This window comes from Homo sapiens, chromosome 22, assembly GCF_000001405.40.
Source record: "Homo sapiens chromosome 22, GRCh38.p14 Primary Assembly".
Classification (NCBI taxonomy): Eukaryota; Metazoa; Chordata; class Mammalia; order Primates; family Hominidae; genus Homo; species Homo sapiens.
The window spans coordinates 28,919,981-28,946,761 of NC_000022.11; the positions used below are offsets into that span (position 1 = coordinate 28,919,981).

Below are 26,781 nucleotides of genomic sequence, written 5' to 3' on the forward strand. Positions count from 1 at the left end.
TTGAGATGGAGTTTTGCTCTTGTTGCCCAGGCTGGAGTGCAATGGTGCAATTTTGGCTCACTGCAACCTCTGCACCTACCCTGGATTCAAGCAATTCTCGTGCCTCAGCCTCCCGAGTAGCTGGGATTACAGGCATCCGCCACTATGCCCAGCTATTTTTTTTTTGGTAGAAACGGGGTTTCACCATGTTGGCCAGGCTGATCTCGAACTCCTGACCTTGGGGGATCCACCCACCTCCCCCTCCCAAAGTGTTGGGTTTACAGGTGTGAGCCACCGTGCCTGGCCTATTTTATTTTATTTTTTGTTTTGAGACAGAGTCTCGCTCTGTTGCCCAGGCTGTAGTGCAGTGGGGCAATCTTGGCTCACTGCAACCTCTGCCTCCCGGGTTCAAACGATTCTCGTGCCTCAGTCTCCTGAGTGGCTGGGATTACACGTGCCCACCACCACGCCCAGCTAATTTTTGTATTTTTAGTAGAAATGGGGTTTCACCATGTTGGCCAGGCTTGTCTCGAACTCCTGACCTCAAGTGATCCACCCACCTCGGCCTCCCAGAGTACTGGGATTACAGGCGTGAGCCACAGCACCTGGCCAGCAGACTCTTATTGATCAGTTATATTTCAATACACATGAGTGCGTTTTGCCTTGCGGTTACTGAAAAGAAACTTTTCTTATTTCTCATTCTCTGTGTTGACTTTACAATAGCTATGCTTTTTTCCCTCTCATTAGAAAGGGTTGGGAAGATGGCTGCTCTGTAACTGCAGCTTTGTTACGGTTGAAGGTCTTGGTGTCAGGGATTGACGGGTAGCCTGTACCCCTTGGAATCCTTAGCTGTAGGCTTTGGTCTTTCCCCAGCCTAGAACCAGACTTGGCACTTACTTCAAGGGGCTTGAGATCCTGTGCTTGACCCTCCTTAGCTCATGGGGGAAACCAAGGCCTGGGAAAGTTTGAGTGATTTGCCCCCAGTCACACACGGGGCTAGACCCAGGGCCAGGCTGGCAGGTTCCCAGCCCACTGGCCACATGCTTCTCCTTTTCACCTGAATTTCAAACAGGAGGGAAGATGAAAGGGATAGAAATGACCAGTCAGAGGAGTAGGAGGGCTGTCATTTGCAAACAGTTTCTTTTGATCTTTGCCCCATTGTTTAAAAAACCCCCACCAAACCACAACTGGTAGCATCAGCACATGGTTCCCTCCGGTTCATTGAGGGGCAGTCATTTCTCTTTTAAGTGGGAAGCCCCCCCCACCCCTAGTAGTCTGTTTCACTTAGGGCTCCATACCTCCTCTCCCCTTCTGCTACTCGGCTGCCAGATGTGCTCCCCTTCACAAACCTTTCAGAGCTTTTTACTGCTTATAGGATGGAGTCTAACCCCGCCTTCCCCTAATATTCTAAAGCCCTTGACATTTTGTGCCCAGTCTGTCTTTGCATTTTGGCATCCAACCACAGAGCCCCTTGCCTCTAGTCAAAGGGCTCCTCCGAATGAGCTTTGGCCTTTATTTGCATCTTTGCCCACATTCTGCCCATCTTTCAATGCTGCTGCCTCCAGGAAGCTCTGTTGGACTAATGCAGCACCCAGTTGCCTCTGCTGCCTCCGAACCTGAAACAATCTGGTCTGGCAACTCATTTGACACTTAATATTGTTTTGTGTTGTTTAACTTGTAGATGTGTCTGTCTCCCTAACTAGATTGTAAGTTCACTGAGGTCAACAGCATGCCTTCTGAACTGCTTCGTATTCCCCTCTGAACTGTTTCATATTCCCCCACAGCATTCCACAGGGCCTAGGTTGTATGCTGTGCAAAGATCTGGGACTGAAATGCTATTATCTTTCTAACTGTTAATAGGAATGGAAGAAATTAGTTTCCCCAAAAAGGAATAAAATGATTAACTAGAGAGATTTTTAATAGGATCTGTGCTACGTTAGGATTAATATATAGGTTGAGTATCCCTTATCCTAAATGCTTGGGACCAGAAGTGTTTCGGATTTTGGAATATTTGCATATACATAATGAGATGTCTGGGGGGTGAGACTCAAGTCTAAACATGAAATTCATTTGTTTCATATACACCTTATTCACATAGCCTGAAGGTAATTTTATACAGTATTTTTAATAATTTTGTGCATGAAACAAAGTTCCTCTTAAGTACTTATGTGTGGAATTTCCACTTGTGGTGTCATGTTGGTGCTCAGAAAGCTTCAGATTTGGAAGCCTTTTGGATTTTGCGTTTTTCAGTTAAGGATGTTTAACCTTTACTTTAAATCGGGTTACTTGAATGAATCAGGGAATTTTAGTTTGTTGTAATTATTTTTTTGTTTGTGTAATTTTGCTGGCAAACAGTCTATAGTGAAAATTTTGACCTAGACCCCTTCAAGATGAAAGTAAATAAATGCATGTTATTTAAAATTTGCTGTTGTTGCTATTTAGCACCCTAGATGCCTGTTTACTTTTTTACTTTGTTGTTCTTATAACTTTTTCTCTAAGTAATTTCTTGGATCCGTATTCGCACTGTTACAATTGTGTTCTTGAACATACTTCTAATCTTTTTTAGCCATTATGATAATATATTTTGTTTTCTTGACCCTTTCTGTAGTTTGTTAGGTTGATGGCTTCCACTGGAATTTTAGGTTTGACCTCCCAAAGGTGGATCCACCTGTATGGGAAAGATTTGTTTTCCCTTCTCCATCCCCTCCCAGTCCCTCTGCGTTCTGGCCTTGGGTGTATGAAATTCTGGCCTTGAACACACCTAGCAGTCCTGGCCCATGTCCGTTTCCCAGTTAACTCTTTTGTGCCCGATCTATATGTGGCATGTTCCGCCACAGCTGTGGGTGGAATCATGCTTGTGCCCCCATATAACCTTTTCCTTCTTAGCATTTTTTTCTTTTCTTACTCCTGAGTTAAACGTGTAGCAGAAGAGGTGTAAAGACACAGGGCCAGCATGAATAGTGCTCCCTTTTTAAAATGTGGAAACCGGCTTGGAGAAGTTAAGTGACTTATCCAAGGCTGTACATCCAGTAAGGAGAAAAACTGGCCTTGTGACATAGCCCCAGGGATGTGCTGTGCCCCGTGATGGCCCCATATGTTGGTGTTGGGAGTTCAGTGGCTCATCAAGTGCCTGTAGCTCTTAAAGGAAAGGAGTTGATAAAATGAAGCAACCTGGGGCGCTTACTCCAGGGGCCATTTCTAATCTGATTTCTGTAAGTAGTGGATTTTTGAGAGTGGGTTCTTGTATTTCCTCCTGGTCTGCTGTGTTCATGGGTATTTTTCTGGAGAGATGGACTCTACATCCCAAAACTGGTGAAGATCCCCTGATAGAGGTGCCGCTAATGCCCCTCCCCATGCAGGGATTGTACTGGAGAAGCTGTGTCTGTGGCCTGCACCCCTCTGGAAGCTCCAGTGAGTGTCCTGGGGACACATTAGGAAAGTCAGATGTGATCTACCCTCACACCCGCCAGTCTCAAACGGCTTTTTTTCCTTCTTAAAAGTAAGCAAGGAATAAACTTTAAAAATAGCAAAGGGTCAGAAGTTCCTTTTTTTTTCAAGCTTTTATTATAGGAAATGTTACATGTAGACTCCAATAGATAGAACATGTTATGTACACACCGTCCCTCCATATACTCACCATCACCCAAAATAGTTGTCAACACCTGGCCCCGCTTGTTTCACTTACACCCCCATGCCACCCTCATGTTATTTTGAAGCAAAGCCAGCCATATCATTTCCCTGCCCGTAAATATTTCTAAAATATCTATAAAAGCTTCTTTTTAAAAAACATGATCTCAAGGCTGTTCCCACAAATGTTAAGCTAGTGATGTCCCCTCCCAAGGGGCAACCCCACACTCCCTGAGAGATGGTGTATGTGTTTCACTGCTCATGCACTGGCAGCCACGTCTAGAGGCTGGGTCTGGGGTGGAGCCCAAGTGGGGTGGGGGACCGAGCGGGCGAGGCCATGGCTTTGCGCTGGCCGGGCAATCATGATGATCTCGGATCCCGCGTGGGCGCTGTGATGGTATCGGCTTTGCCCCGGGCGGGAACCACAAGATCAAAGGCGCCGCGCACCGGGGTGCTTCAAAGCCAGTGGAGCAGCCCGGATTGATGCCCAGAATGAGAGCTCTCTGCTGATGTAATCGTAGCCTGTGAGACAGGTTCTTTTTTTAAATTTAAACAAAGACACCCCTTGTTTGTTTAGTGAGGTGAAGCATGTGTTGCAGAGGGCACGCAGCATCTGGAGGGCTCCACTCTGGCCTGGTGGGTCCATGGTAGGGCAGGAATGCTGCAAGTGACTAGAATTTTCAGGCGGGCTTGTAGATCTTCCATAAAAGACAACCTGTTTCTGTTAAGAGTAATTTTTTTCTCCCTTTTTTAGTATAGTCAGGCTTGTTCTCAAGTGACTTTCCTGAAATACTGAAAGTGCTTTCCTCTGGTGGGGTTGTCAGGCTTTGGAACACACCTGGTGAGCCAGCTAGGAATTCAGATCAAAAAGTAGGTAAGCAGCCAGGGCATGGTGGCTCACGCCTGTCATCTCAGTGCTTTGGGAGGTTGAGAGGATTGCTTGAGCTCAGGAGTTCAAACCAGCTGGGGCAACATAGTGAGACCCTGTCTCTTAAAAAAATTTAGCTGGCTGTGGTGATGTGTGCCTGTAGTCCTAGCTACTTGGGAGGCTAAGGTGGGAGGATCGCTTGAGCCCATAAGTTCGAGACTACAGTGAACTATGATTGCATCACAGTACTCCAGCCTGGGCAACAGAGCAAGGCCTTGTCTCTAAAAAATAATAATAATAATAATTTTTAAAAAGTAGGCAAGAGGGCTGACTTTGGTCAGTCATTCCTTGGGTCTAGAAAGGAAGCTCATCTGTCCCTTCCCTAGAGTATGTGAGAGGCTTGCCCAAGGCTGGTAGTCAGATCCCATCCTGTTGGAAGGAGAGAGGGGTCTCCAAGAATATGGCTGAGTGCCAGGATCACCACCACCCCTAGCCTGAATATTCTCCCAGTCTCTGTAAAAATCATAGACATGTGGCTGATTTTTCTGGGGTATTCCCAGTTAAGATGGTATCCCTGCCTTTAGTAGTTGATCAGTACACAAATCAGTGAAACCCTGTACCATACATACCTCCATGAGTGAAATCGTGGTCATATTCTGTTTTCTTGCTTAGCAAATCTTGCTGACAGATAGATGAAGAAGCCTGCCAAACGGAGTCAGCTTGTTGGATGCTGAGGTCCTTCCCAAGATCTTCCCTACATCAGAATTCAGGGTCAGTGGGGTCTGAGGCACTACTCAACTTAAGTCATAGTGACTAAAGTCCACTTCAGCATCTTACAGATGTCCCAACCAAACCCAGCATGTGTAAAACCAGATTTCTCTTCTCTCCACAAACCTGTTTCTGTTAGGTTCTTTTGTTACTCCAGCTAAAAAGCTGGTGTCATTCTAAGCTGTTTATCCTCAATGAGGTGTCCCCTTCTCTAACCCCATGATGCCTCTACCCATGCACATTGAATTGTCTGTAAGTTACTGGAAGGCAAGACTGGAAGGGTTTTTCCTTCCCTTTTAAACTACAAACCAGGTTTCCCCCATCTTCTGTAAAAGCACCCCCCAATATTGTGAATTTCAAGCATGCAGGAAAAGTGAGAGTTTTGCAGTCGACACCCATATACCCACTATCTATATTCCACCGTTAACATTTCACTGTATTTGCTTTCTTACATTTTTTATCTATCTGTGCATGTGATGGGGTTTTTTGAGACAAGGTTTGCCCAGGCTGGAGTTCAGTGGAGCAATCATGAATCACTACAGCCTCAACTTCCTGAACTCAGGTGATTCTCCTACCTCGTGATGGGTTTTTGATATTTGAAAATCAAGCACATGGGGGCTGAGATGTTATAATGGATGTGACAGAGTATGTAAGGTTCCCTTTTTAATTTGGTTTCTATCACTTTTAGATCCAGGTCTCCCCTTCTCTCCCTATCTACTGCCTCCCCGCTAACCAACCCCTACCCCATCCCCTGGCTGGGAATAGCCCTAGAGATCTTGCGTCTTTGTTCAGACACTCAAGGGAGAACCCAGGAAGTTGCACCTGGAGGACCACCTGGGGCATGGAGTTTGCTATGGAGACCCTGTTGTGTTTGAATGACTTGCCCTCTCACATTTCCTAAAGCCTACTGCCCTTCCTTCATCTTGTCCCTCTCTTTGCCTTCTAGTGGTCTGGCCTTGTGGCTACAGTGAGCATGTGCACATTCTGTTCAGAGACTGCAGTTTTTTGTGCAATGGGGTGGAGGTGCTGCTGCAGAGCATGGAGCAAGCCAGCTGGGTGGGACTTCTGGTGGGTTTTAAATTGATTTGAAGAAAAATCTCTAAACAGTATTTTGTTTCTTTGATTGATTGATTTTTTTAAAGAGATGGGGGGGTCTCTCTATGTTACCTAGGCAGACCTCGAACTCCTGGGGTCAAGTGATCCTGCCACCTCATCAGTCTCCCCAGTAGCTGGGATTATACACACATCACCCTGCCTGGCTTTTTTTTTTTTTTTAATTTTATTTTTTAAAGTCAATAAAATAGGCCAGGCATGGTGGCGCACACCTGTAATCCCAGCACTTTCGGAAGCTGAGGTGGGCGGATCGCCTGAGGTCAGGAGTTCGAGACCAGCCTGGCCAGTGAAACCCCATCTCTACTAAAAATACAGAAATTAGCTGGGCATGGGCATGCCTGTAATCCCAGCTACTCGGGAGGCTGAGGCAGGAGAATCGCTTGAACCTGGGAGGCGGAGGTTACAGTGAGCCAAGATTGCACCACTGCACTCCAGCTTGGGCAATGAGCGAAACTCCATCTCAAAAAAAAAAAAAAAAGAAAAGAAAAGGTGAATAAAACAAGTGGCTGGGCGCGGTAGCTCACACCTGTAATTCCAATACTTTGGGAGGCTGAGGCGGGAGGATCACTTGAGGTCAGGAGTTTGAGACCAGCCTGGTCAACATGGTGAAACCCTGTCTCTACTAAAAATACAAAAATTAGCTGGGTGTGGGCACATGCCTGTAGTCCCAGCTACTCAAGAGGCTGAGGTGGGAGAATCACTTGAACCTGGGAGGCAGAGGTTGCAGTGAGCTGAGATCATTTCACTGCAACAGAGTGAGACTTCATCTCAAAAAAAAAAAAAAGTGAATAAAACAAGTTACTTTTCTTGAGATTATCAATGTAAACTTGAGTTTTGGCTGAGTAGGGGCATTCCATTGGACTTGGCAAAGTCAGCTTATCTGAAATGTTAACGCTTTCATAGAAAGGCTTTAGCTTTTCTTGTAAACCTGCTCAAAGCACCGGGCGTGGTGGCTCACGCCTGTAATCCCAGCACTTTGGGAGGCCAAGGCAGGCGAATCACAAGGTCAGGAGATTGAGACCATCCTGGCTAACACAGTGAAACCCTGTCTCTACCAAAACAAACAAACAAACAAAAAAAACCTGCTCAAAGGATCCGGGAAGCCCAGAAAAATTTGATTTATATATTAAATGAGCATGTTTTGCAAAGTTAAGATGAGCTACAACTTGTTGCACTTAGAATGGCTTTATATGAACTATTTTCTTTTGCTTTGCTCTGTATCCCCTCCAAAACAAATTAATATGTGATTCTGTGTGTGTTTGTATGTGTGTGTAAGGTCTTTTAGAGTAGAAGCAGCATTCATCATCTTCGCTGTTGTGAACAGGAGCTGGACAGGTCTACAAGCTAACCTGATTCTTAGAACAGACTAGATTCACAGAATAGATAAGCTCTTTATCACATGGCAGCATATTTTAATTCCAGCCTGTGGCTTCCCTCCTTACGGGAGCTCAGATAGATTTCTCTTTTACTGTGTGTGTATGTGTGTCTATATGTGTGCATGCATGAGTGTGCATCTTTAGAAGCATGATCTGACTTTGCATTGGGCTCCTATGGCTTCCAGGATGCCAAGAGCTGTGACTTTAGCTACCTGGGTAGTGGATCTGCTGACTGTGCCTTTTGTGCCAGTGTTGTGCCTGTTGTATTTTGCTGTAGCTATAGAAGGCAGCTGCACAGGCTTTAAATAATGAAGTCAAGACCACCATCTCCAGTTTGATTTTGTTTAGAGACCATTTTTGGTACAGTTTAGAGCCAGTGGATAATTGCAAGTTGATTAGTGTCTCCCAACCTTCTCTTTTGGTCTGTATTTAATTTTTGCCCAATCTTTTTTAAATTTTATTTTTAAAGTTTTTAAGCCCATAGAAAAGTTGAATGAATAGTTAGTTGTGTGTGGCAAAATGTTAACAGTTGCTTGATTTGTGAATTCTCTCTTACATACACTTAGTTTTGATTTTTTTTACCCGCGTTTTTACTCACTTTTTAAAACCACCTTTTTAGGCCAGACTATTTGAAAGTTGCCAACATAATGGCATTTCACACCTTAGTACTCCAACATATATACATCTGCTGAGACCAAGGATGTACTCCTAACTGCTGTGCCATTGTCACACCGAAGAACTTGACATATTTAAATTTCTCTGATTGTTCCAGAAATGTCTTTTTTTTTTTTTTTTTTTTTTTGACGGAGTCTTGCTCTGTCACTCAGGCTGGAGTGCAGTGGCACAATCTTGGCTCACTGCAGCCTCCACCTCCCGGGTTTAAGCAATTCTCCTGCCTCAGCCTCCCGAGTAGCTGGGATTACAGGCATACGCCACCAAACCCGGCTAATTTTTTTTTTTATTTTTAGTAGAGACGGGGTTTCACCGTGTTAGCCAGGGTGGTCTCGATCTCCTGACCTCATGATCCGCCCGCCTCGGCCTCCCAAAGTGCTGGGATTACAGGCGTGAGCCACCGCGCCCGGCCCAGAAATGTCTTTTATAGATGGCTTTAAAAAATCCAGGACCCATGCAAGGTTCCCATAAGGTATTTAAACTTTTAAAATATTTATACTGAATAGATGCACAGGTCCTATAATGCTAACAAGAGGCAAAAGACAAGGAAAGATTTCTCTCACAATTCTACTACCACAGTTTCAAACCAATTTCTTTTTCATCTCTCTGTTCTTTAAAAATGAAGCTTTGGACAGATTTTCTTTAGTTCACTTTCCTAACCATCCATGAGACAAAAAAAGAACACTGATCAAGACTGTGGTGCTGTTTGACTGCATAAGCACAAATTGTGGTCTTTGAAAGTTCTTGCTGAGAGATTTGGAGTTTTATTAAGAATACCAGGAAGCCAGCGGCCTTTGAGTAATGTTTGAAACAAGAGGGAAGAAATCAACTATTGCTTTTGTTTGTTCAAAAGCTGACTTTATTGATGATATAACAGTGTCTGTAGGTCTTGGGATTCCTTTTTCCTTATTGTAGACGTGGTTTCTCCACCTTGGCACTGATGCCATTTGGAACTGGATAATTTTTTTGTTGTGGCTCCTGTCCTGTGCGTTGTAGGATATCGAGCCACATCCCAGGACTCTACCCACAGGACGCCAGTAGCAAAACCTCCTTCCCAGTTATGACAACTAGAAATGTCTCCAGACACTGCCAGATGTCCCCTGGTTAGGGGCAGGGAGGGGCAAAGTTGACCTCAGTTGAGAACTACTGTTCTAGAAATTCTTCAGGACTAACTTAAATTGAGATTGACTGTGTTACTGATAAATTTCTGCGGAGGGACATTTTCTTTTATAATAAGCCCCATCCCAATCTGAAAATCCAGAAGTGTCTAGATGTCCACTGGCCAAGGGATTGAAATCAGTTGGCAGATGACAACTGAGTGTGTGCCTTTTCACGATTTTCACACTTTAGCAGAAGCCTTGTTATCTGATACTGTTGGGACCTGTAGGTGGTTGGGTAATTGAAAAAGGTCAGTTAAATTGAAGCAGGGAATGATTTAAAAAGAATCATCTTAAGTTTTAATTAAAGCTTATAAAAGGGATTCAAGCTCAGGCCTTTGTGAATAGGACCACAGATATGCACTCCTTACATTAACCTCAGCCTTGATGTATCGTTTAAAACATTTCTCTCAGTTTGAGAAAAAATAGAAATAAAAAACATTTAAAAAGAAAAAATGAAAATGTACATTTCTGATGGGTTTTTTATTTGTTTGTTTTTTCAAAGCAGAACAAATACGTATAAACACTTGTAAAGCTATCAGGAACTATCTAGAATTTTGCTTTTTTTTGTCTTCCAAAGTTGCACTTAGCTCTCAGGTGCTTTTTTTTGGTTTTTGTTTTTTTTGTAGTTATTTGCCTTCATTTAGTCTTTCTATCCAAAGTATATTCAACTTATTTTCATAGAATAAAATAGTATATTTTGCATTGTTTAATATTAAAATCAGTTACATAATTATAGGAGGTGAGTCTGCATAAACAGATCTAGAAACACATATAGCTCAGCTGGTGGGAGCAGTGGTGTGTGGAGGTACTAGAGAGTAGTTTCCCAGCCAGGAGTCTGCAGTGCATGCAGGCTGAAGTTATAGGTCTGCTAATAGCCCCTGCCATATTCTGAAATTCATGGAAAGGGCCCCAGAGGATGGTTCCGATTTGAGAGTTGGAAGATTGGGTTCAAGCCCCGGTTCTGTTGCTTTCTCCATGGTTTTGGGACAAGCCCATCAGTAGGCACAAGCCTCAGGTTGCTTATCTGTCAAATGGGAATGATAGTAATGCTTGTCTTGACTACGGAGCAGGTTATCTTGCAGGTTACACACAGGCCACATAACAGGAAATGCCTTTATAAATGTTCCATGGCGCACTGGTATGTTATTAATGAGCTGGTTATGCTGAGCCTGAGATGTGCACTTCTGAGAATGTGTTGGCTATCCTTTGCTCTTTGAGCACAGAGCACTTGAGCCTCACAGTAAGAGATTTAGGTCAGAAGAGGAATGGAGGGGGCCTTGCTCAATGCAAATTTATACCCACTCTTGCAGAAACAGCTTTGGGCTCCTGCCATGCTGAAGGTGGAGGCACATCACATGGCTGGGTCTTTGTCATAGGTTTTGCTTGAGTGGAGATTACTGGCTTCTCAGTGATAAACCCAGTGAGCAGGCAGGGGGTGAGAATACCAAGGGTTTGGCCAGAGTATAACAGGCAGCCAAGGTTCTCATTACAAGTCCTTTACCCATGCTTTGATGTGTATACAAAGTGAGTGACATCGTGAAGATTGTGCCACCCTGGAGGAAAAGAAGTAGTCATTTCAGTGCAACACTTTAGGGTCTTCTGGAAAGTAAGAAATTATATTTATTTTTGCCAGTATGCCTCTTTTGTTCTTCCAGTGATTCGTCAGCAGGTTGACTAAAATTAGAGCCGTCTGCTAGTCTTGTCCCATCTAATGGTTAGATAAATCTTGCACTGATGTTCATACCTTGAAGGACCCTTTTTTGTGGAACTTCATGTGTTAGAGAAACTGAACCTGTGTAAAATGGAGCAGATCCAATTGCTCTTTGTAACCTTGCTCCCTGGGCCCCCAAAGAAGCTAGAATCTCCCAGTTTTGGCCCCGTAGGTGAAGATGTTACTTTGGGAGTACTTGTGTAACCTGAAGAAGACTGAAAGTATATAGCAGTTCTCATGAGGGAAACCCTGGGATTATTGGCCTAAGTCTCTCTTCAGTGCAGCAGAAATTCTGCTGTTAGACCGGCATTACTGTCTTGACAAAAGGGGAAACAAAGAGGCTACTACATTGTTAGGGAGCCCCATCCATCTGTCCACCCATCTGTCCATCTGTCCACACACCCATCTGTCCACCTACCCATCCGTCTGTCCATCTGTGCAACAATGCAAGGTACTGGGAATATTGCAGTGGAAAAGACAAAAACCCCTGCCCTGTGGAGCCAACATTGTACTAGGCAAACCAGATCCTAGCACATTGTCACCCTAGAATCAGGAGGACTCTTCCTGCCCAGTTCCACTGGGCTAGACATGTAAAGAGAATATGTGAGTAATAGCTAAACTTTGGTCTTACTCAGCTAAACTTTGGTCAAATGGCAAAATACAGGTGAGGTTCCTATGGACAGAGAAGGCAGATGGCATAATGGGGATATGCTGAGCTCAGTGATGCATCACTGTAGACAGCTTGAGAACTCTAGGCATGGGCCAGCTTGGGACAGAGGCCATGGAAGAGACAGGTGTAGTGCGTGGCACCTGTAGCTGAGGCTTAGATGATAACCTTACTCTGCTCTAGCATGGAGAGGACCCGTTCAGCCACACCTGTGGTCATCATTGAGTGCCTGTTTGTAACCAAGGTTGAAAGGATTGAAGAAGAGGTCTGTGTGATAAGTGGGAGGTGGAAGAGCTGATGGCTTATCTTAGCTGGGGAGGCTGTTCTGTCTCCTGGCCTTGGTTTCCTCACCTGTAAAATAAGGCCGGTATCTCAAAGGTCACCCAGGTTAAAAAAAAAAATCTTAACTTTGTTGAGTAAGAATGTAACTGGTTGCCTCTTTGATCTTTGATCAGTGATCCGCATGAGTGGAGAGAACCTGACTTTTCCTGGTGCCTGCTGCCTTTGGAGTGAGTGCAAAATGTCCATTTTGCTGATGACAGGCTCCCTGTTGGCATGTACAGAGAATCTCAGGCAGTGTGAGAGTGTAGTAGCCACCTAGCAACATTGGGTCTTTGTGCGCATGTCCTTGTGATCTATCACCATGCTGCTGCTCATCTTGATCTAAGATGCATTGCCAGTCTGCCCTGCATTGACTCAGCTGAGAGGCAAAACTGGGCAGAAAAGTGGGCTTCTGCAACTGGAACCCCAAAAGCCTGGGCAGAGCTGACCCGTATTGCCTTGAATCCTTGTCTTGGGTGTTACTGGCCATGGTTGGCTCTCCTTAAGAACCGTCACAGAAGAAAGTCACCAAATGTCTGTCTGCCCATCAGGAGCTCTGCACTTGATCTCAGCTAAAAGGCTGAGAAGAGATTCATCAGGAGCTCTGTAGCCTTCTTGATACCAGCAGTGAATCTTTAATACATGTCTTCTCTAAGAGATACTGTCTGTTCTCTCTGATCTTTCCCATGCCCCCTTCCTCTCCCTTCTTCTACCTTAATGAAAGAGCAAAACGGCTAATTATATGGAAACAAAGATTGCCAAGGTTTGTATTAGGATGAAGTGTGTGTTCCACCTATGATAGTGGCCAAATCTTCCAAAGTACATCATCTGACATTTTAGAATACAGACTTCCCTTTCATAGCAAACCTGTATTTTAATAGCTTGTGGTTTTAAAAATATCATCTAAACTCATGAACTAACGCATTCTTCTCAATTATATCCCAACTCTACCATCATCTTCTCTTTCTTCTCCTTAACTTCTCTGGAAATTATTGGAATCTGCTTTTAAACACTGGGGGGATTGTATATTATAGTTGTTTAAAAATGAATCAATTTAAGTTTGAGCAATGTGGTAATTCAAAGCAGTTTTAGGTGTTATTGGGATTTTTTATAAAGAGCATTCCTGAGCCTGAATGAAGCAGTCAGTTTTCCTGATGAGCCATGAGCCCATTGCATTAATGTTTGAGTCTCCTGGTGCTCATGATAACGATTAAGGAGTTAATGTTACCTCTGCCATGTTTAAACATTAACCAAAGGGCTTCCTCTGCTATTATCTGTTATCAACAATTACTTGGAACATTTTCTGGCAGTGGAGCTTTGTTTTTCCTCCGAGGAGATGCTAGAACAGGATGAGAATAGACATTAGGCCACATCAAAGGAAGATTCTTGATTATGTCCAAAGAAACTCTGGCCTTGTGGGTACAGAGAGTTTGCCTCCTTAATATTTTGTAAACTCCTATCACACCCCCACCCCCACCCCACCCCCCCCACACACACACACACACACTCACTCTCTCTCTCTCTCTCTCTCTCTCTCCCCTCCCTCCTCCCTCCTCCCCCTCCCCCTCATCTGGGTCTGAGGAAGAGGGCTGCAGTGATTATTTCATTGTATCATGGTGAGTGGTACCTCTTTTCTTATTTGGGATACTCATTAGAGTTGCTCGGTGGAGATGGAATGATGGTGGGGTGCAGTTAAACATGGCTGAGTGCTTTCTGCTTAAGGACCTGATGTATTAATGCTCTCCAGGTCATTCATATTTGGGGGAAGGAACAAAGAGGGTACTGCTCTACTGCAGATGTGTTCATTTGCTTATTAACAAAAGGCTGGGTGACCCAGAAACTTAAACCCTGAGAACAAAAGTACTTTCCAGCTTCCAAATGGGAAGATCTTGGAGACTCTTGAGTGGCTCCTCTGGAGTGCTTTCTTTACCACCTAGCTGTTTGGAGCTGTCGTGCCTAATAGCTTCTCAGCCTAGAGGGCCCCATAAAATTTTAGTCTGTTTCTGTATAGAGTGCTTTGGAGTGGCCGTTTCTCTCTGCCTCTTATTTACTCTCAAATACCCTTTGGAAAAAGAGCTGATGAGGTGCATTGAGACTTGGCATCAAAAGCCATTCATTGATAGCCATCGCTCAACTCTCTTGGACTTAAATTTTGTTAAACAACAATCACAAAAAGTCTTAAAGAATTACCCCTGTTTCCCCTGAATGTTGAAGTAAGAAAGAAAAGAATTACTCCTGTAATGCAAGAAGACATACTCATTAAAATCTAAACAGCGAAAAAGTATATCGATTAGGTTGGGCGCGGTGGCTCATTCCTGTAATCCCAGCATTTTGGGAGGCTGAGGCAGGCAGATCACTTGGGGTCAGGAGTTCGAGACCAGCCTGGCCAACGTGGTGAAACCCCGTCTCTACTAAAAGTACAAATATTAGCCAGGTGTGGTGGCAGATGCCTGTAGTCTGAGCTACTCCAGAGGCTGAAGCACAAGAATCTCTTGAACCTGGGAGATGGAGGCTGCAGTGAGCCGAGATAGTGCCACTGCACTCTAGCCTGGGTGACAGAGCAAGACTCTGTCTCAAAAAAAAAAAAAAAAAAAAAGTATATTGATTAAAAAGGGGAAACCCTCCCATCCTGTTCTTCCTGTAGATATCACTGGGACCAGCTGGGTTTCCAGTTTTTTTTTCTGTGCATTTCTCTATACTCACACATGGTTTTGCATAAATGGGATTATCCTATACACCTGTTACTTGACTTGCTGGCCCAGGACTTCTCTGAATGTAGGGTATGCTAGATGCACGATAACACAGCCCCATCATGGCTTGTAATTCAGGCATTTAGCGTAAGCTGCTGGGTTTCACTTTTCTTCTGGAAGCTTCAGGCATTGCCCTGCTTTCTGGATGTGCTATGGTTCTGGATTCTTCCTTTCTTTTTCTCTTAATAGGGCTTGTCTAGGATGGAATTTCAAAATAACTTGATTCTTTCCATCTGAGACACAAGCACACAAACCCTTTAGCAGAAGGTTTTTAAGGTTGCCTGTGTACCTGCCCTTTGCCCCTAGAGGTCCCACTGTGAGTGCCCCAGTCACATGATCCACTCTGGCCTTATGGGGGCAGCCCACCCTGGCGCCCGTGTGGTGAAGCCTACTCGTTGTCAGGTTTCCAGTCATTCCTCTCTGCCCTTAGCCCTGTTGTTCTGTGGCTTTGCTTTCTGGGTGCTCTGCCCATGTCCTCAGTTCATTTCTCTCATTCCGGGTTCTTTGCCTGAAATATCCTCACTAGGCTCCACTCTTTGGGGTCAAGACTGCTGTCTTTGTGCACTTGGAGGCTAGCCTGTCTCTGTTGAAGTAATGTGTGGGTAGGGTGCCCACACCAACATCCCTGACACAGATCTGGCCAGCCACCTTGGATCAGCCTGCTGCCTTCTCCCATCTCCTCTTAGATTTGTTCAGTTCCACCCTTTATTGGCTGCAGAAAATGATTCTCTACAATTCTTTCACTGTGGTTTATGATAGAATCCATTTTCTTAAATCTGATGTAGGATCACTTTCCCCAGCAGCAAGGTAATTCTCTTAGGGTCTTCAAAATGGCTCCCCTACCCGAATTCCCGACCATCCCACTAACTCAGAGGGTGGGGAGAGGTGAGTAGATGATGCATTTGCTTCAAGAAGTGTTGCCTGTACTTCCCATCCATCACCACCAGGGCATATTGAACCCCTCTGGCAGGCTCTTCTGGTGCCCTCTGTGATGTGAGAGGAGTTCGGGGGTGCAGAGTGAACATAGTCAAGGTAATTTAGGAAGCTAAGCTCTCCATGTTCTCCTTGGCACAGGTTTCTCTGAGTCAGTTGGTCACTCCCTCCCAACCGCCATAGTTTTGTTTCACCTTGGGGCTTTTATTGTGAATCTCCACTTACGGTGCTCCTAACATCTTGCAAAGGTCTTTCAGCCATAGGTCCCTGATCAGGAAAAATGGTCTCCTCTCTGCACTCCAGTTTTATTCTCCTAATCCTCTCTGGCTGAGAGTCCTGACCTGACTCAGCCACGCCCCAGAGCCAGAGCCCTGGCCACTTTTCCAGCTTGGTCCATCTCTCATCTCTGCCTATTCAGCCTAGGTGTCGTGACCATCATGCCCACCCAGCATGCCACCCTGTGTGGTCTCCTGCCTTGACAAGGTGTGTCCCTTGCCCTGGAGTACATCAGCAGGCAACCCTGACTCCTTTCAGCTCCTAGTGCCCCGGTACCTCTCCTGGGATCCTGAGGTCCACTCTGCTGGATGCCCTGGCAGAGCAGCAGGCTCCTGGGAGCACCTGGGATTGTGGCCCCTGCTTCCTGGGCCCAGGAAGTGCCCTGAGTAGCTACTTGGTGGTGGGTGGGTTACTTCTGATCCGTTTATATTTGCTGTACTCCAGCCCACCTTGGTTTTTTCATCCACAGAGTAGAAATAAATTAAGTGGCTCTAAGAAGTAGTGATTCTTTTTTTAAGGTTGGATTTCTGTGCTTTTCTTAACCATGGCTTTCATAGTTTTGCTAATAGACAAAAACAGTCCCTCGACTGCCTCTGAGAGTAGAGCTGAAATAAAAATTCTAGGCGTCTTCTACAGTAGCTGGAGTCCTGCACTGTCCAAGGAGTCTCAGAATGTAGTAGGAGGGGAAGAAGCTGGGGATTATATATCTACCTGGACCATGGAACGGGATCAAAGAAGGGCATTGAGCGGCCATCCCAAAGCCAGGGCTTGTAACTTAACATGACACCTCATTCATCTGAGCTGCTACTGCATACAGGTTTAGGATTCTTTTTAAATTGTGCAAATGAGTCTCTATCTTTTAAACTCTTAGCTGTCATGCCCTGGCTGGTGCTGTTATTATAAAATTGAGACTGGAGGCCATACATTTGAAGACGAAGACAGTAATCCGCTGCCAACCTACTTCTCTCTTATAATATATATATATATATATATATATATATATATATATATATATTTTTTTTTTTTTTTTTTTTTTTAACAAAAGGAAAGAAAAAAACTCATGCCAGACTTGTTTGTCTGAGATTTATCACTGTAGGGATCCCAGAGACCCCCATGGAAGCTGGCTTTAGTGGTGGCTGCGGCTGGGGACTGGACAGAACAGGTCAGTGTGAGCTTGAACTAGACTGCGCCTGCCTCCTGGTGCACGTACTGTGTTTGGGCATGTGTTGGCTCTTAAAATGCTGTTCATCCATCAACATACTGACCCCTTTTGCAAGTTTCATTGTTCTATTATTGTGACTATAAAAGTGGCACTTGTTACAAAACCAGTTTCTGTGATCTAGAACCGTGTTCTCAAACTTGCATCTATCAGAATCATCTGCCCCACCTCTAGAGTGTCTGATCAGTAGCTTTGGGGTGGGGCCTGAGAATCTGCATTTCTAACAAGTTCCCAGATGCTGCTGCTACTGCAGCTGACCTGGCAACCACCCTTTGAGAACCACTGATCTAGAAGGTACAAGGAAATGAACATCGTCTTCAGTCTTACCACTCGGGAGAGAACCACTGTTAACATTTTAGGGTATAATGAATATATTCATACATATGTGGACATATTTTTAAAAACAATGATAGTTTTGTGCTGTACATAGCGTTGCTTTTTAAAAAAACAACCTTCTTTCTTTTGGAATAGTTTTAGATTTGTGGAAAAGTTGCAAAGATAGAACAGAGGGCTCCTGTATACCCAGCACCCAGTTTCTCTTACTGTTAATATCTTACACTATTATGGAACATTTGTCAGAACAAAGGAGCCAACATTGATACATTACTGTTAACTCCACATTGTTACTGCTTTTATTGAAAATACATGAATGTATTTTCATAGGATTCAAATATCAGAAATACATAATGACAGAGTGCCTCTTCACTCCTACCATCCCACTTCCTATATATTTCAGAGTATTTTTTATATATTTATATACACATGTAATTATGCACACACACCCATCCATCTTATTTTAAGACATGCTTTTTTCATTTAAATATGTCTTGAAAGCTTTTTTTTTTCAGTATACCTAGATCTGCACCATTATTTTTAATGGACAACACATTGTTTTACACCCTTTTAAATATATCTTATCTATTTTAATCTAGCAGATTAAAGGTGAGGTCTGGCACACCTCCCTTTTATCTTAAAGTGGAGGTTAGAGATTATTTGCCCTCCTTTGTGGAGTACTTAGCGTATTCTAGGCACTGCCAAGCACTTAGCGTGTATTATCTAACCTAGTTATCAAAACAGTCTTACTCATAGGTATCATTATCCCTGTTAACAGATGAGGAAACTGAGGGTCAGGGAGGTTAAGTGAGCAAAAACTTTTGACGACTTTCTAGCTGAAGCAGGCTGTCTCTGGTACTTTGGGTGACATGAGCTGTTCAGCTTAGGGTGAACATTGCTTGGTTTATGGAGTCTTCCTGAGTGCCACACCTAGTGCCAGAATATGAAGGTGAAGGGTATGCTTAGGGAACTCACAGTCTTATAGCTGAGGGGAGATGTATATATAAAACAAATGATTATGTGATAAGTATTACATTAGAGTTTGTAAGATGTAAGATGGGTTTCGGATACCTTAAAAAATCCACTAGAAGTAAGGCATGTGCTTGGAACCATGGCAGAACAGATGGAAGTATAGCATCAGATTTGGCAATCAGACCCGAGTTCTAATTCTGAATATTACTGTTTAGCTGTGTGACTCTAGATAAGGCATTTAACCTCTCTGAGTTTTTGGTATTAATATCTCAAAATAGGCCAGGCACGGTGGCTCATGCCTGTAATCCCAGCACTTTGGGAGGCCAAGGCTAGCAGATCGCTTGAGGCCAGGAGTTTGAGACCAGCCTGGCCAACATGGCAAAACTCCGTCTTTACTAATAATACCAAAATTAGCTGGGATAGTGGTATGTGCCTGTAATCCCAGCTACTTGGGAGGCTGAGGCAGGATAATCTCTTGAATTTGGGAGGCGGAGGTAGCAGTGAGCCAAGATTGTGCCACTGCACTCCAGCCTGGGCAACAGAGTGAGGCTCTATCTCAAAAAAAAAAAAAAAACAAAACCTCAAAATATACTTCATATGTTTGTTAGGGTTAAGATTAAATAAATACATATAAGAAGTAGCTATTGTTGTGTTTAGTAAATATGTACATATAATGTGTTTAGTATATTTAGCATAAACGTATAATCTCTGCCACATCAGTTGCTGAGTTGAAACCTGCCTTTAAAAGTCCTTGGAAAGTTCCGGATAGAAACAAGGACAGAACGAAATCCCCCGGTCTTTTATCTCTAAGACCAAATCCTGAAGCCCTCCCTGAAATCCCCTGTGCCCTCAGTCTTTGCATCCTCAGAGCATTCTCTTAATGGGCCTCACTCCCATTTACATGTTATCCTGTTTGTGCCGTCTCTCCTCTGCAAGTACTGTTTCTCGGAGGGCAGAATCTGTGCCTTTCATTCTTGTGTCCCCTGCAATTTAATGGAAGCACATTAAATATTAGTTGTAGAACCAGATGCTGTAGAAAGGGTTCACATCCTACACCCCAAGTCAGGTGGAGCTTACATGTTATGGTTTTTGAAGAGTTTTTTTCACCTCTTCCAACCATCCTTCCCCCACTGGTTTTTTAGACGTTAGCCTTTGACACCCAAACTTGAGTTTTAACATAGAAGGGCCATTGAGCATTTTATTCAAAAAGATTTTTAATGAATTATATCTTGATATATGAGTAGTCCTCATTATGAATTAACTTAATCCTCAGGTCTTTCACTGTGAGGAAAGATTTATGTTGATATTTTCCCCCAACTTAGAAAAGCAGAACAAAACCTCAGCAGGCCTATGTCTTGTGTAGCCAGGGCAATTCTTACCAGACTGCCACAGGTTAGAGAAAATGCTGCCCATTCTTTTCCTTTCCTGCTCGTGCTTAGAGGAGGGAGCATTCTGGCAGGGATTCTGGGCCAGTGAAATTGGAATAATACTGTAAAGAAGTTTTGGTTGAAGACAAGGCTAAATGAATTAAGGGAAAGGCTAGTTTCTTAATAAGTTTCTGAGTTCGTCCTAGAAAGATTGGTAGTTAAACCATGTTCCATGTCAACCTGAACTGTCTAAATAGTAATCTTGAGAGGTATGGCAGTGTTATTTTTTTTCTCCTTCTGGAAAATCAGCTAAACTTGTTAGAGTATGTGAAAATCTACTCTCCTAGATTTGAAGAGCAGGATTCTTTTTGGAGGGCAGTTACAGAGCCACACTAGGTTTCTGCTTTTTTTTTTTTTTTTTCTTAAATAGGAGATTGCTCCCTCTTAAGAGAGCCAACGATTTAGAAAACTTAATCACAGGTTCTTCTTCCATTCACACTTAATCTGGTCATTCAGAGGCTCTTGCCCTCCCCTTCAGAGGCTGCAGCGCCTGACCTGGGGCCACGGAGGTCTTCCTCCTCAACCTTCAGAAGGTTCAAAGGGCAGGAGTGAGTCTGATTCTTTGGATAGGGGGTTGGGTTGGATCTTTTAAAATTAATTTCTGGGTGTGAACTGTAAAAGAGACGAACCAGTAGGGATTTACTCTCCTCCGTAATTTACTATTGCAGCCAGAAGCCTGATGGTTTCAGCACCCCCACCCAGAAAAAAATTTATAAAATGACCAAAATGTTACAGAAATTTATTTCATGGAGGTTGTTCATTTTATGGACAGTTGTTCCATTTTAAGCACTTTGATCACCCTCCTGATTCCCTTTTTTTTTCCTCCCCCTTTTTGGACGTCAGTTCTCTGGCATGTTTAGTGACAGAAGCAAAAGGGCTGTAGGAAATCTTTCTTCATGTAAATAAGTACCTATGTCTCTCCTCATACTTTTATTTTCCTCTGGCATTAAAATGAGAAGAGTAGGGTAGGGGACTTGGAAATCCTATCACTGCAAAAATGGTTGGCTTAGATGCCGGTGGTGGTGGTGGCAGCCAGGGAGGGAAATCAAGAGTCCTTTGCATGTGCCTGGGTGCACCTGCTTGTTTATTAGATGCGTGGCTGTAAGTCATCTGGAGTAGTGCAAATTTGTATTTTTATTGATTTGAATTCAGAGAAGGTTTTTGGTCTTAATTTAACTAATTTATTTATTTTTCATTTTAGAAATTCAATTTCAGCTTCACCCTAATTGTCACTACTAAAATCCTACATATGCAATTCTAAGCTTACCAAACTGATAAAATAAGATGACTTTATTACTTTTATTTTTTAAAATTTCTCGTTTTCCTTTTCTCTTTTCCACTTGGCTGAGGACAAATATAGATAAAATCTTGGCCTATTGAAGAGCCAGTAAAATGTTGTTTTATTTTTGTTTCTAACCTGGGATGTTTTATATCTGCAAAATGTGGTGAAGACAGACCCATTCATTAAAAACAGACTGCTCAACTGGGCACCATGGCTCACACCTGTAATCCGAGCACTTTGGGAGGCTGAGGCGGGTGGGTCACTTGAGGCCCAAAGTCCTCAAGTGACCAGCATGGTGAAAGCCTGTCTCTACTAAAAATACAAAAATTAGCTGGGCGTGGTGGCGCATGCCTGTAATCCCAGCTACTCGGGAGGCTGAGGTGGGAGAATCTCTTGAACCCGGGAGGTGGAAGGGGAGGCTGAGGTGGGAGAATCTCTTGAACCCGGGAGGCGGAGGTCGCAGTGAGCAGAGATCGTGCCATTGCACTCCAGCCTGGGCAACAAGAGCTAAACTCTGTCTCAAAAACAAAACAACAACAACAACAACAAAAACAAACACAAACCAGACTGCATAAGTCTTCGACTTCTGAGGTTTAGTCTGGAAGAAATTTCTGGTGCCATTTTAGTTTTGTCCTGCACATGGGATGTGGTTCTTTGATGCAGTTTCAGGCCTGAAGCCAAATGTGTACCTCTAGCCCGGTGAACCTCTCACCTGTTTTAGGAAATAATTTTGAGCAAATCATACTTTCTTTGAGGATCTGAAGTTTCTCAACAAAGCTTGTCTGAAGCTATGTGATGTGACGCGATGCCGATGCAGAGAGCCTGGATGAGGCTGCACAGATGTGCCCAACTGCCTGATAGCCTGACTTCTCTGAAAACCTACTAAAACCAACAGGCGGACTGTTCTTTTTTTGGACAAGAAAAAAGACCTGGCCCTTTCATATAGCACATCAAGCCTTGGTAGCAACCAGAAACTAAGTGACAAATGCAAGCTTTTAGCCCCTTTCCTTCTTGTCCCTAGACCTTCATAGTTGTAGCTTGTCAGTAGAAAGAACTTTGGCCTGGGAGTTGGGAGACTACCTGGGCTCCAGATTAGCTGAGTGACCTCGGGCAAGTCTCTTAGTGTATCCCAAGATCTTTCTCCAGAGCGAGAGAGTGGAATTTGATTCTCTAGCGGTCTCTTACCCTGGAATCCTGTATGATTCTTAGGGGTCCGTGCTACGTCTGAGGTTAGAGATCTCAGATGTGAAAGAGACTGTTTGAGGTGTCCACTTAAGAGCTGCAAACTCTATTGACCCTTGTGTCTTTCAACTGGAAAAATGAGAGCAGCTTCTACTCAAATTAAGAGGTGCCCTCAGATTCCCCTATTTAGATTCTGTGAACCAGTGATAAGTCTCCTCTTCTGTGTGATTGGTGTTGCCCTTTTGGGATGTAGACATTTTGGACTAAGGATTTAGAGATTTTTTTACCGAGACAGGATTGTATGCGTACTAAGATGTCCTTAAAGCTGGTACTTTCCCCTTTTATCACTAATGGCTGCTATTTCCAGAGCTGTGGGCTTTATCTGACCATCTTGCAGGTATGTTGAAAGATTTGACTAGCACTTAAAAGGTATGTTCAGAAAATGCTATTTTAAGTGTTTCTTCTTTACCCTATTTCCCCCTTGTTGAACAGTGCAAAACTACCAGGTTTTATGTTCCACTGGGCAGCTGCTGCTGGTCTGATGTTTTTCTCTCTGTCCCTCCTCCTCCTTCTGTCTCCCCTCCCCCGGGGGTCCTCCCCCAGTGCCTCCCCCTGCCCCATTCTTGCTCCGGTCTGAAGGGAGCTGTACCTTTGTGGTTCTTCTGCAGCTGCTGGACTTTGATGGGGACATGCTTGCTGCCTCTACACTTGCTTCCCTTAGCAACCGATCCTTTGACGATGACCTCTTGCTGTTTGCCTGTTGTCTCTCATGTTGGATTATAGATGAGAGATTTACCAGGCTGGGGGTAGAGGCCTGCTGTTAGCACATTTCTTTTAGGGTTCCCAGCGTCCCTCAGCCTGTGTTTTCTCTCTCTAAAATATGAGGTTTGGAGAGGGTGCATGTGTGTTTATGTGTGGCGGGGATATTAGTGCCGAATCAAACAGTTTTAAGTTCATAGGGTTGTCCTAGTTGTGAGCTAATTTTGAAGTAGATGCTGTGGTGGTTACTGAAGCTACTTGATTTACTTCTCATTTTTATTATAATGTGATTAACACACATGGGGGGGGAGGGGTGCCATTTGTTCCTCTTTACACTTTCCAAGTGTTTGTGTGTTGGCACTAAACTTGTTTCCTGGTGTAATCTGAGCTCTGAGAATTGCCAAATTACCTAAATCTCCACACATTTTAACACATTTATTTTCTCCCAAAGCATTAAGTTTTTGTTTTATTTAAAGTAGCAGTATTCCTGGACATGTGGCTCTTATTTTGCATGGACAGCTTATGATGTTCCGTGTGTAACTAGTTTGTGCATTTCTGTTTAGCTCGGTGGATTTGCCTTGGACAAATTAGGGACAAGGACATTGTGGGACAGCAAGAATTCCAAAAGAACCCCGGATTAAGGCCAAAAAGGAAAAAAAAAAAAGCCATTTTTAAAGCTACCCAAAGAGGAGAGTCTAAAATAAAATTAGCAATCATTTTTATAAAAAGATACAAGAAAATAGATATTTACACACTGCTGGTGGGGAGGGTGGCTTGTAGCAGTACAATGTATCAAGAGTCTTAAAAATACTCATACCCCGGCTAGGTGCAGTGGCTCACACCTGTAATCCCAGCACTTTGTTTTGTTTGATTATATAGTCTTTGGGGGAACATTTTTTTTTTCTAAGTCTTCACAGTTTAGAGGAGAGCTACTTAAAGATTTCATTATATAAACTTACTACTTTGGCTGAGTGCAGTGGCTCACACCTGTAATCCTAGCACTTTGGGAGGCTGAGGCGGGCGGATCACGAGGTCAGGAGATTGAGACCATCCTGGCTAACATGGTGAAACCCCGTCTCTACTGAAAATATGAAAAATGCCGGGTGCGGTGGCTCACGCCTGTAATCCCAGCACTCTGGGAGGCCGAGGCAGGTGGATCATTTGAGCTCAGGAGTTCGAGACCAGCCTGGCCAACATGGCGAAACCCTGTCTCTACTAAAAATATAAAAATTAGCCGGGCGTGGTGGCGCACGCCTGTAGTCCCAGCTACTCAGGAGGCTGAGGAAGGAGAATCACTTGAACCCAGGAGGCAGAGGTTGCAGTGAGCCAAGATTGTGCCATTGCACTCCAGCCTAGGTGACAAAGCGAGACTCCATCTCAAAAAAAAAAAAAAAAAAAGATTAGCGGGGGTATGGTGGCACACACCTGTAGTCCCAGCTACTCTGGAGGCTGAGGCAGGAGAATTGCTTGAACTCAAGAGGTGGAGGTTGCAGTGAGTCAAGATCGTGCCACTGCACCCCAGCCTGGGCAACAGAGCGAGACTCCGTCTCCAAATAAATAAATAAATAAATAAATAAATAAATAAATAATAATAATACTCATACTCCTTGACTCAACAGTTTTTCTTCTAGGAGTTTATCCTTAAAAAAAGTTTAAGATGGGCTGCGTGCAGTGGCTTATGCCTGTAATCCCAGCACTTTGGGAGGCTGAGGTGGGTGGATCACTTGAGCTCAAGAGCTCAAGACCAGCTAGCAACAGAATGAGACCCTGTCTCAAAAAAAAAAAAAAAGTCAAAGATGTGTATCTCAAGACTTACAGGTAAGGATGTTCACTAACATGTTATTCGTAATAGAAAATTACTAACAATATCTAACAATAAAGGGCTAGCTAAATGATAATATTTTTGTTCTTATAGTAGAGTACTGTGCAGACATCTAGATTGTTTGAGGATACTTAATGTCAGGGGAAAATGCTCATAAGTGAAAAAAGCAGAATATTAAGCAATGTGTCATATGATCGTAATTTAAAAAGAAGGACCGGGCACGGTGGCTCACACCTGTAATCCCAGCACTTGGAGAGGCCAAGGAGGGTGGATGGCTTGAGCCCAGGAGTTCAAGACCAGCCTGGGCAACATGGCAAAACCCGTCTCTATTTTTTTTTTTTTTTCTTTTTTAAGACGGAGTCTTGCTCTGTGGCCAGGCTGGAGTGCAGTGGTGCGATCTTGGCTCACTGCAACCTCCACCTCTCGAGTTTAAGCGATTCTTCTGCCTCAGCCTCCTGAGTAGCTGAGACTACAGGGGGGCACCACCACGCTGAGCTAATTTTTGTACTTTTAGTAGAGACGGGGTTTCACCATGTTGGCCAGGATGGTCTCGATCTCTTGACCTCGTGATCTGCCCGCCTCGGCCTCCTGAAGTGCTGGGATTATAGGCATGAGCCACTGTGCCCGGCCCCATCTCTATTTAAAAAAAAAGAATTGTGTGGCATACACAGAAAAAGAATGAAATTCTATCCACAATCTGTCTCTTTGGTAATGGGATTTTTAGTGCTTTCATTTTCTTCATATTCCAAGTTCTTCAGTGGTCAGGTATCACAGATTGTGTATCCTTAATCTGAAAATCTGAAATTTGAAATGCTTCAAAATCTGAAACTGTTTGAGTGCTGACATGCTCAAAGGCAATGCTCATTGGAGCATTTCAGATTTTCAGATTAGGGATGCTCAACTGGTCCGTATAATGCAAATATTTGAGGATCTGGTCCCAAGCATTTCGGATAAGGGACACCCCAGCCTGTAGTTTTATAAGTTGAGAAAACTTTTGTTTTAATTGACTCTTCACCCCCCGAAAATTATTTTGAGAATATTTTGTCTAAAGCTAAGGACTTAATAGATGAACCAAGACAATGACTTTTCTCTGTGTTTCTTCTTGTTGTTGTTAGAATGTGTTTGTGGGTTTGTGCTTTTTAAAATTAAAGCCCCCTTTTTTCTTTGTGTGAGAGATGGCTTTGGGGTTTTTAAGTTGCAGTGTTATCTGAAGGAAGTTATATCGCTTAGCAGGAACTCAGTACAATAATGTGTCATCCTTCTGTAATCATGTAATGATGCCTGACTTCAAAATGACTTACTAGTATTTGGGAATTGGTGTTTGGACTGGTTGTTTATGAGAAAGTCCAGGTAGACCGTCCATTTACTAAATACGGACGAATGGCAAGGGACTTGGGAGCTTTCTGTTTGATGGTGGTTGAAATCACTAGTTATGGATGCCATCTTTATTTGGAAATGTTTGTAATTTGGGAAGAATGAGAAGTGTTAGCAGATGATGGTTCTATGAACAGTTTGTCTAGGAGCATCAGAGTGGGAGGAGGGTGTTCTGGGGACTGGGGAGTGG

At 43.7% G+C, this 26,781-nt stretch overlaps 1 protein-coding gene across 2 annotated transcripts in view, besides 1 other annotated feature; it reads left to right on the forward strand.

Moving 5' to 3' along the window:
* ZNRF3 (zinc and ring finger 3) overlaps nucleotides 1-26,781 on the forward strand; it is a 173,917-nt gene that overhangs the window by 36,409 nt on the left and 110,727 nt on the right. The gene's annotated exons all lie outside the window — the stretch shown is intronic.
* Nucleotides 19,526-20,027: an enhancer, noted in NCBI's record as "NANOG hESC enhancer chr22:29335494-29335995 (GRCh37/hg19 assembly coordinates)". NCBI's record gives its function as "activates a minimal SCP1, AML or CMV promoter by ChIP-STARR-seq in naive H9 embryonic stem cells {active_cell/tissue: H9 hESC(naive)}" and the evidence as "EXISTENCE:reporter gene assay evidence [ECO:0000049][PMID:30033119]".